Source organism: Homo sapiens, chromosome 2, assembly GCF_000001405.40.
Source record: "Homo sapiens chromosome 2, GRCh38.p14 Primary Assembly".
Taxonomy (NCBI): Eukaryota; Metazoa; Chordata; class Mammalia; order Primates; family Hominidae; genus Homo; species Homo sapiens.
In genome coordinates, this window is record NC_000002.12 from 127,913,990 (window position 1) to 127,923,935 (window position 9,946).

Here is a 9,946-nt window from a genome sequence, read left to right on the forward strand (position 1 = left end):
GGTTCTGTTCCAGATGACCACAAGAAAGCAAATATTGTAATAAAGTGAGTCACGCAATTTTTTTTTTTTTGGTTTCCCAGAGCGTATAAAAGTTATACTGGCTGGGTGTGGTGGCTCACGGTTGTAATCCCAACAATTTGGGAGGCCAAGGTGGAAGGATCACTTGAGGCCAGTTGTTCAAGACCAGCCTAGGCAACGTAGTGGGACCCCATCTCTACAAAAAATGAAAAACTTAGCCAGTTGTGGTGGTCCACACCTACAGTCCTAGCTACTCAGGAGGCCGAGGCAGGAAGATCGCTTGAGCCCAGGAGTTTGAGGCTACAGTCAGCTGTGACTGCACCAATGCACTCCATCCTGGATGACAAAGAGACACCTTGTCTCAGAAAAAAAATTGTTTTCACTATACTGTAATCTGTTAAGTGTGAAGTAACATTATGTCTAATAACCACAATGTACATACCTTAATGAAAAATACTTTATTGCTAAAAAATGCTAATGATCATTTGAATCTTCAGTGAGTCCCAATCTTTTTGCTGCTGGGGGGGGTCTTGCCTTGTTGACGGCTGCTGACTGATCAGGGTGGTGGCTGCTGAAGTCTGGGGTGGCTGTGGCCATTTCTTAAAATTAGACAACAATAATGTTTGCCACATTGATGAACTCTTCCTTTTGTGAAAGATTTCTCTCTAACATGCAATGCTGTCTGATAGCATTTTATCCACAGTACAACTTTGTTTCAAAATTGAAGTCAATCCTCTCAAACCCCGTCACAGCTTTATCAACTAAATTTATGTCATACTCTAAATCCTTTGTTGTCGTTTCAACAGTGTTCACAGCATCTTCCCTGGGAGTAGATTTCATCTCAAGAAGCCACTTTTGGCCAGGCAGAGTGGCTCATGCCTGTTATCCCAGCACTTTGGGAGGCTGAGACGGGAGGATTGCTTGGGCCCAGGAGTTTGAGAGTAGCCTGGGCAACATAGTGAGACCCTGTCTGTATGAAAAATAAAAAAATTAGCCAGGAATGATGGTGGTGCGCCTGTAGTCCCAGCTACTTGGGAGGTTAAGGCAGGAGAATCACTTGAACCCAAGAGGTCAAGGCTGCAGGGAGCTGTAGTCACACCACTGCAAGATCCTGCTTCAAAAAAAAAGCCTCTTTCTTTGCTTATTCCATAAGAAGCAACTCCTCATCCATACAGTTTTTGTTTGTTTGTTTTTTGTTTTTTTGAGACTGGGGTCTCCCTCTGTCACCCAGGCTGGAGTGCAGTGGCGCCATCTCGGCTCACCACAATCTCTGCCTCCCAGGCTCAAGAGATCCTCCCACCTCAGCCTTCCACGTAGCTGGGACTACAGGCGTGCACCACCATGCCCAGTTAATTTTTGTATTTTTTTTGTAGAGATGGGGTTTCACCATGCTACCTAGGCTAGTTTCGAACTCCTGAGCTCAAGTGATCCACCCACCTTGGCCTCCCAATGTGCTGGCTTTACAGGCATAAGCCACTGCGCTCGGCATCCACACAGGTTGTTTGTTTTTTTTTTTTTTTTTGGTTGTTGTTGTTTTTTGAGACAGAGTCTCACTGTGTTGCCCAGGCTGGAGTCCAGTAGCGCGATCTCGGCTCACTGCAACCTCCGCCTCCCAGGCTCGAGAGATTCTCCTGCCTCAGCCTCTTGAGTAGCTGGGATTACAGGCGCCTGTCGCCACACCTGGCTAACTTTTTATATTTTTGGTAGAGATGGGGTTTTACCATGTTGGCCAGGCTGGTCTCAAACTCCTGACCTCAAGTGATCCGCCTGTCTCGGCCTCCCAAAGTGCTGGGATTACAGGTGTGAGCCACTGCGCCCGGCCCTCCATACAGTTTTATAATGAGACTGCAGCAATTCAGTCACATTTTCCGGCTCCACTTCTAATTCTAGTTCTCTTGCTATTTCCACCACATCAGCAATTACTTTCTCCACTGAAGTCTTGAACCTCTCGAAGTCACCCATGAGGGTTCTACTACTTCCAAAATCAACTACTTCCAAAATCCTGTCAGTGTTGCTATTTTGACCTTCTCCCATGAATACAAATGTCCTTAATGGCATCTAGAATGGTGAATCCTTTCCAGAAGGTTTTCAATTTACTTTGCCCAGATCCATCAGAGGAATCACTATCCGTGGCAGCTATAGCCTACAAAATGCATTTCTCAAATAAGACTTGAAAATCAACATTAGTCTTTCATGGCTGGGCACCGTGGCTCAAGCCTGTAATCCTAAGCACTTTGGGAGGCCGAGATGGGCAGATTGCTTCAGCTCACTGAGTTTGAGACCAGCCTGGGCAACATGGTGAAACTCTGTCTCTGCAAAAAATACAAAAAATTAGCCGGGTGTGGTGGTGGTGTGCCTGTAGTCCCAGCTACTTGGGAAGATAAGGGAGGAGGATCACTTGAACCCAGGAGGTCAAGGCTGCAGGAAGCCATGGTCACACCACTGCATTCCAGGCTGGGTGACACAGTGAGACCCTCTCTCAAAAAATAAAATAAAATAAAAGGCCAGGTGCAGTGGCTCATGTCTGTAATTCCAGCACTTTGGGAGGCCGAGGTGAGTGGATCACCTGAGGTCAGGAGTTTGAGACCAGCCTGACCAACATGGTGAACCGCCCCCGTCTCTACTAATTTAAAAATAAAAAATTAGCCGGTGTGGTGGCATGCACCTGTAATCCCAGTTACTTGGGAGGCTGAGGCAGGAGAATCGCTTGAGTCCAGGAGGCAGAGGTTGCAGTGAGCTGAGATCGTGCTATTGCAATCCAGCCTGGGCAAAAAGAGCGAAACTCTGTCTCAAAAAAAAAAAAAAAAAAAATCTCAGGTTGTCCTTTGAAGCTTTGAAGCCAGGCATTGACTTCTCCTCTTTAGCTATGCTAGATGGCATCTTTTCCGTCTATGAGGCTGCTTTGTCTACATGGAAAATCTGCTGTTTAGTGTTGCCACCTTAATCAATGATCTTAGCTAGATGCTCTGGATAACTTGCTGTAGCTCCTACATCAGCACTTGCTGCTTCGCCATTAGCTTTTACGCCATGGAAATGGCTTCTTTCCTTAAACCTCATGAACCAGCTTGTGCTAGTTTCAGAGTTTTCTTCTGCAGCTTCCTCACCTCTCTCAGCCTTCACAGAATTGAAGTGTTGTAGGATCTTGCTGTGGATTAGGCTTTGGCTTAAGGGAATGTTGTGGCAGGTTTGATCTATCTAGACCACTCAAACTTTTTCCATATCAGCAATAAGGCTGTTTTGCTTTCTTATTATTTGTGTGTTCACTGGAGCAGCACTTAATTCCCTTCAATGACTTTCCCTTTGCATTACAGCTTGGCTGGTGCCAGGAGGCCTCACTTCCAGTCGATCCTGGCTTTCATCAGGCCTTCCTCACTAACCTTCATCACTTCTTTTTTCTTTCTTTTTTTTTTTTTTTTTTTTTGAGATGGAGTCTTGCTTTGTCTCCCAGGCTGGAGTGCAGTGGCGCGATCTCGGCTCACTGCAAGCTCCACCTCCCAGGTTCACGCCATTCTCCTGCCTCAGCCTCCCGAGCAGCTGGGACTACAGGCGCCCGCCACCACGCCCGGCTAATTTTTTGTATTTTTAGTAGAGATGGGGTTTCACCATGTTATCCAGGATGGTCTCTATCTCCTGACCTTGTGATCCACCTGCCTCGACCTCCCAAAGTGCTGGGATTACAGGCTTGAGCCACCGTGCCCGGCCCAGCTTCATCATTTCTAGCTTTTGATTTAAAGTGAGAGTTGTGGGAATCTTCCTTTCACTTGAACACTTAGAGGCCATGGTAGGGTTATTAATTGGCCTAATTTCCATATTGTTGTGTCTCAGAGAGTACGGAGACCGGAGGAGAGGGAGAGAGACATTGGGCAGGGGGCTAATGGCCGGTTAGTGGAGCACCCAGGACACCCACAACATGGATTATTTGCCATCTTATATGGGCACAGTTGGTGGCACCCCAAAACAATTACAATAGTAACATCAAAGATCACTGATCACAGATCACCACAACAGATATAATAATAATAAAAAAGTTTGAAATATTGTAAGAATTACCAACATGTGACACAAAGTGAGCACATGCTGTTGGAATGCCATGGCACCAATAGACTTGCTTGATGCAATGTTGCCACAAACCTTCAAATCACAAAAATGCAGTAGCTGCGAATCGCAATAAAGTGAAACAATGAAACGAGGCCTGCTCTTGTATACTGATCTACTGGAAAAAGATGGGAAGGGCACATACAACTGCTTACAGGAGTTTCCTCTACAGATCAGAGGGCTACGCACACAGGGTCTCACCCTGTTCTCCAGGCTGCAGTGCAGTGGTGCGATCATAGCTCACTGCAGCCTCCCACGCCTGGCCTCAAGTGATCCTCCTGCCTCAGCCTCCCAAAGTGCTGGGATTACAGGTGTGAGCCACCATGTCCAGCTGATTTTTTAAACTTTTTGTAGAGATGGAGTCTCACTATGTTGCCTGCAATAGGGCTCTTGTTTTGTCCCCTTCCTGTGACTCACCTCGGTCCCTCATTGCAGGGGGGAGCAGACTCTCATCATGCAAATTAGCCAATGTATCTTTGAGTGTTTTTACTCCTTTAATAAGAATAAAACTAAATATTACTGGTATAAATTAATAAACACAAAGTAAGTATCCAGAATTGATATTAATTTTTATTAAAACAAGAAAATAGGGCCAGGCACAGTGACTCACGCCTGTAATCCCAGCACTTTGGGAGGCCGAGGTGGGTGAATCACGAGGTCAGGAGATCCAGACTAGTCTGGCCAACATGGTGAAACCCCGTCTCTACTAAAAATGCAAAAAATTAGCTGGGTGTAGTGGTGGGCACCTATAATCCCAGCTACTCAGGAGGCTGAGGCAGGAGAATCTCTTGAACCCTGGAGGCGGAGGTTGCACTGAGCCAAGATTGCACCACTGTACTCCAGCCTGGGTGACAGAGTGAGACTCCATCTCAAAAAAAAGAAAATAGATATATTTATAAAAGAACAGAAGGAAATCCAAAATTTGAATATTGGTCTTAGTTGCCATAATCATACATAACTGTATCTATTATAGAGAGAAGTGTAATCCCAGAGTTAGAAATTACCTGGTCCAAAATGTTTGTTGTGCCGATCAGGAATTGAGCCCCAGAAGGTACAGCGACCCCAACTCACAAAATCTTGGTCAGCAATGCCAGGAGCACTGGCCAGGTCTCAGAACCCAGGCGAACACTTATTCCAATGTTTTAAAGCTGTTTTTCCTAAAATGCAGCATGTTCCATCCAAATATTAACCATCCTGCCCTTGGTGAACTTTGGTGATCACAGGAGATTTGTTAAAATTTTTTTTTTTTTTGAGATGGAGTTTTGCTCTTGTTGCCCAGGCTGGAGTGCAATGGTGTGATCTCAGCTAACTGCAACCTCTGCCTCCTGGGTCCAAGCAATTCTCCTGCCTCAGCCTCCCGAGTAGCTAGGATTACAGGCGTGTGCCACCACGCCCAGCTAATTTTTGCATTATTAGTAGAGACGGGCCAACCACGTTGGCCAGGCTGGTCTCTAACTCCTGACCTCAGGCGATCTGCCCGCCTCGGCCTCCCAAAGTGCTGGGATTACAGGCATGAACCACTGCACCCGGCCGAGATTTGTTAAATTAAAGGGGCATTGCTGCATTTCAAGATTAGGTCTTCAGGCCAGCCACTAATTTCGAATGCATTGGTGGTAGGACTAGAAAGGAAATCTCAGGTGTTCCGTACAGAAATCTGGAATGCAGATATTTCTTTCTAAATGATCTGTAAAGCTTCAGGTCCCAGGATACCAGTGGAAAGGGTTTTTGAGGTCATTCCTCCACCCTGGCCATGAGGTCAGGCAAGTGCTCATTTCAGTCTTTGGAATATGCTTCTTTGACGAGAGAGGCTGATGCAGAGGTGGAGAGTTAAGCACAATATACATTTAATATGTATGACATTTAATATGACTTAGGCCCAAACTAACCTGTTATTCCCAAAGTAAAATTTTTTTTTCTTTTTTGAGATAGGGTTTCACCCTGTCTTCCAGGATGGCAGTGGTGCCATCATAGCTCACTGCAACCTCCACCTCCCGGGCTCAGGTGACCCTCCCATCTCAGCCTCACGAGAATCTGAGACTACAGGCATGTGCCACCACGCCTAGCTAATTTTAATATTTTTAGTAGAGACAGGGTTTCACCATGTTGGCCAGGATGGTCTTGATCTCTTGACCTCGTGATCCGCCTGCCTCGGCCTCCCAAAGTGCTGGGATTACAGGTGTGAGCCACTGCGCCCAGCTAATTTTTGTATTTTTTTTTAGTAGAGACGGGGTTTCACCATGTTGGCCAGGATGGTCTCGAGCTCTTGACCTCATGATCCACCTGCCTCAGCCTCCCGAAGTGCTGGGATTACAGGCATGAGCCACCGTGCCTGGCCCCATTTTTTTGTATTTTTAATAGAGGCGGGGTTTCACCATATTGGCCAGGCTGGTCTCGAACTCCTGACCTCAGGTGATCTGCCCGCCTCAGTCTCCCAAAGTGCTGGGATTACAGGTGTGAGCCACTGTGCCCGGCCTTCCCTGTTAACTATTTCTACAGCACATGCACGTTAAGCAGTCGTCCCCAAAGCAAGAACCAAAAAGTTAAATACATGGATTTTGCTGATAACTCAGAAGACTGAGCTCTTTATTATTATTTTTATTATTATTATTAGAGACAGAGTCTCACTTTGTCACCCAGGCTGGATGGAGTAAAGGGGCACAATCATGGCTCACTGCAGCCTCGACCGCCCGGGTTCAGGTCATCCTCCCACCTCAGCCTCCCGAGTAGCTGGGACTATAAGTATGTGCCACCATGCCTGGCTCATTTTTTCTATTTTTTGTAGAGATGAAGGTCTCACTATGTTGCCCAGGCTGGTCTCAAACTCATGGACTCAAGCAATCTGCCAGCCTTGGCCTCCCAAAGTGCTGGGATTACAGGCATGAGCCACCATGCTGGGCCCTCTGTTTATTATTAAACCAACAATATTAAACTCGTCTTATTTACCAAAGATTCCAAGTTATGTGAATTCAAAAGCATTTGTGTCCATTTCTGCACTTTCAAGAGCTTACATGCAGACAGATGCAAGGATCTATAGTTTTCATTAAGGTTTTTCTCTTTTTTTTTTTTCTTTTTAGATGGGGTCTCACTCTGCCATCTAGGCTGGAGTGCAGTGGTGCGATCTCGGCTTGCTGCAACCTCTGCCTCATGGGTTCAAGCGATTCTCCTGCCTCAGCAGGAGATTACAGGCATGGATCACCACATTCAGCTAATTTTTTTTGTATTTTTAGTAGAGACGGGGTTTCAGCATGTTGGCCAGGCTGGTCTCGAACTCCTGACCTCAGGTAACCCTCCCACCTCAGCCTCCTGAAGTGCTGGGATTACAGGCGTGAGCCACCGCACCCAGCCTCTCTTTTTCTTTTTATGAGGGTGTTTCTGTGGAAACATTAAGGTTTTTCATTTGCCTATTCCTAAACAGTACCCTCTGCCTGCAGACTACCAATCTTTCAATTGACTTACTTTTCTATCAAACAATTGGTCTACAGATGTCTTGTCTTCACCACCTGACTGCCTTACTCACTCTAGCAGGGGCCGAATCAAAGATCCCTGCCCCATTTTCAATCCTTATCTCTAGTGACCTGCCTGATGATTGCCCTAAGTAATTTCAGATTAGACTTTTCATTGTAATCTTTTTCTTCTGTTTTTTAAAATTTCTCCAAACTGGGATCAATAGAGCAGACTGGTTTGGGGCTCTGTAATGTTGGGGACCTGGCAGGAGGTCCCTCTGGCATGCCCAACATTTGGTAGATTAGACCTTGGTTTCAACCTCATTAACGTCTGTTTTATTTAGCCCCTTTTTTTTTTTTTGAGACAGGGTCTCACTCTGTCACTTAGGTTGGAGTGCAGTGGCACAATCTGGGTTTAGTGCAGGCTTGACCTCTTGGGTTCAGGTGATCCTTTGACCTCAGTCCCCAGAGTAGCTGGGACTACAGGCATGCACCACTACGCTCAGCTCATTTTAAAATTTTTTGTAGAGATGGGGTCTTACCATGTTGCCCAGGCTGGTCTCAAACTCCTGGGCTCAAACAATCCTCCCGCCTTGGCTGCCCAAAGTGTTGGGATTACAGGCAGCCATTGCGCATGGCCTGGCACATTTTCAATCAGCATCTAAAACTTTTCCTCCCTACATTTGCATTTCCAACGGGATAGCTCTTAGGTAAAACAAGGGCAGAAAATTTATATCTTAAAGGAGTACAGTTTACACTTTAGGTCTAAACACCATCATTTGCCAAAACAAAGAAGGGTATGGGTAAAAAGCCCAGTTAAGACAAGATGGTCAGCAAAGGTAAGGCTTGCTACGTCGATTTTCTTTTTTATTTTTTTTTGAGATGGAGTCTCGCTCTGTTGCCCAGGCTGGAGTGCAGTGGCGCGATCTCGACTCACTGCAAGTTCCACCTCCCGGGTTCCCGCCATTCTCCCGAGTAGCTGGGATTACAGGCACCTGCCACCACGCCCGGCTAATTTTTTTTGTATTTTTAGTAGAGACGGGGTTTCACCATGTTAGCCAGGAGTTATGTCGATTTTCAAAATAACTGGCTGAGGGCCAAGAAAGGCATATTTTGGATAATAATTTAGTTAGATAGGAAGCTTTTCAGTTTAGCCTCTAGTTTTGTTTTTTGTAACCAGATTGTTGGGTTCAGGGCAGAGCTCATTAACAAACAGGGCAGACAAAGCTTTTCCTCTGCCTAGACTCAGCATGGATGGTTCTGAGCTCAGGAATTTGGCCAGAGCAGAAAAGTAAAGAAGCAAGCTTTCTTGACCTAGTGGCCTAACCTGTATAAACACTTTATCTAGCGTTCTATTAGTCTTGGGGCGGGGGGAAGGTCACTAAGCCAAAAGGTTAGTAAATAAACTCATTTTTTTTCTCATCAGTTAGTTGCTTAAGATTCTTTTTTATTTTTAGTTTTAGAAACAGGGTCTCACTTTGTTGCCCAGGCTGGAGTGCAGTGGCATGATCAGAGCTCACTGCAGCCTTGAACTGCCGGGCTCAAGTGATCCTCCCACCTCAGCCTCCTGAGTACCTATGGCTACAGGCACATGCCACCATACCTGGCTAATTTTTTAATATTTTATAGAGGCAGGGTCTTGCTATGTTGCCCAGGCTGGTCTCAAACTCCTGGGTTCAAGCAATCCTCCCTCCTGAAGTGCTAGGATTACAGGCATGAGCCATTACACCCAGCCTGCTTAAGATTCTTATTTGCCTTTTTAAAAGAGTATTTTAAATAAGCAAAAAAATTTTGGGGGGGGGTCCTGCTGTTTTACTTATTTACTTTTTTTTTGACATGAAGTCTCGCTCTGTCACCCAGGCTGGAGTGCAGTGGCGCCATCTTGGCTCCCTGTAACCTCTGCCTCGCCGGTTCAAGCGATTCTCCTGCCTCAGCCACCTGAGTAGCTGGGATTACAGGTGCCTACCACCATGCCTGGCTATTTGATCTGCATGACAAATAAAATAGCTGTCCCTGGGTGAATCTAATTTGGGAGCACTTCGTTTCTTTTCTTTCTTTCCTTTTTTTTTTTTTTTTTTTTTTGAGGCAGGGTCTCACTCAGTTGTCCAGGCTAGTGCGGTGGCCTGATCATGGCTCACTGCAGCCTCGACCTCCTGGGCTCAAGTGATCCTTCCACCTCAGCCTTCTGAGTAGCTGGGACTACAGGCATGAGTCACCATGCTCTGCCCCTCATTTTCTTTTCTTTCTTTCTTTTTTTTTTTTTTTTGAGATGGAGTCTTGCTCTGTCGCCCAGGCTGGAGTGCAATGGCACAATCTCGGCTCACTGAAACCTCTGCCTCCTGGGTTCAAGTGATTCTCCTGCTTCGGCCTCCCAAATAGCTGGGATTACA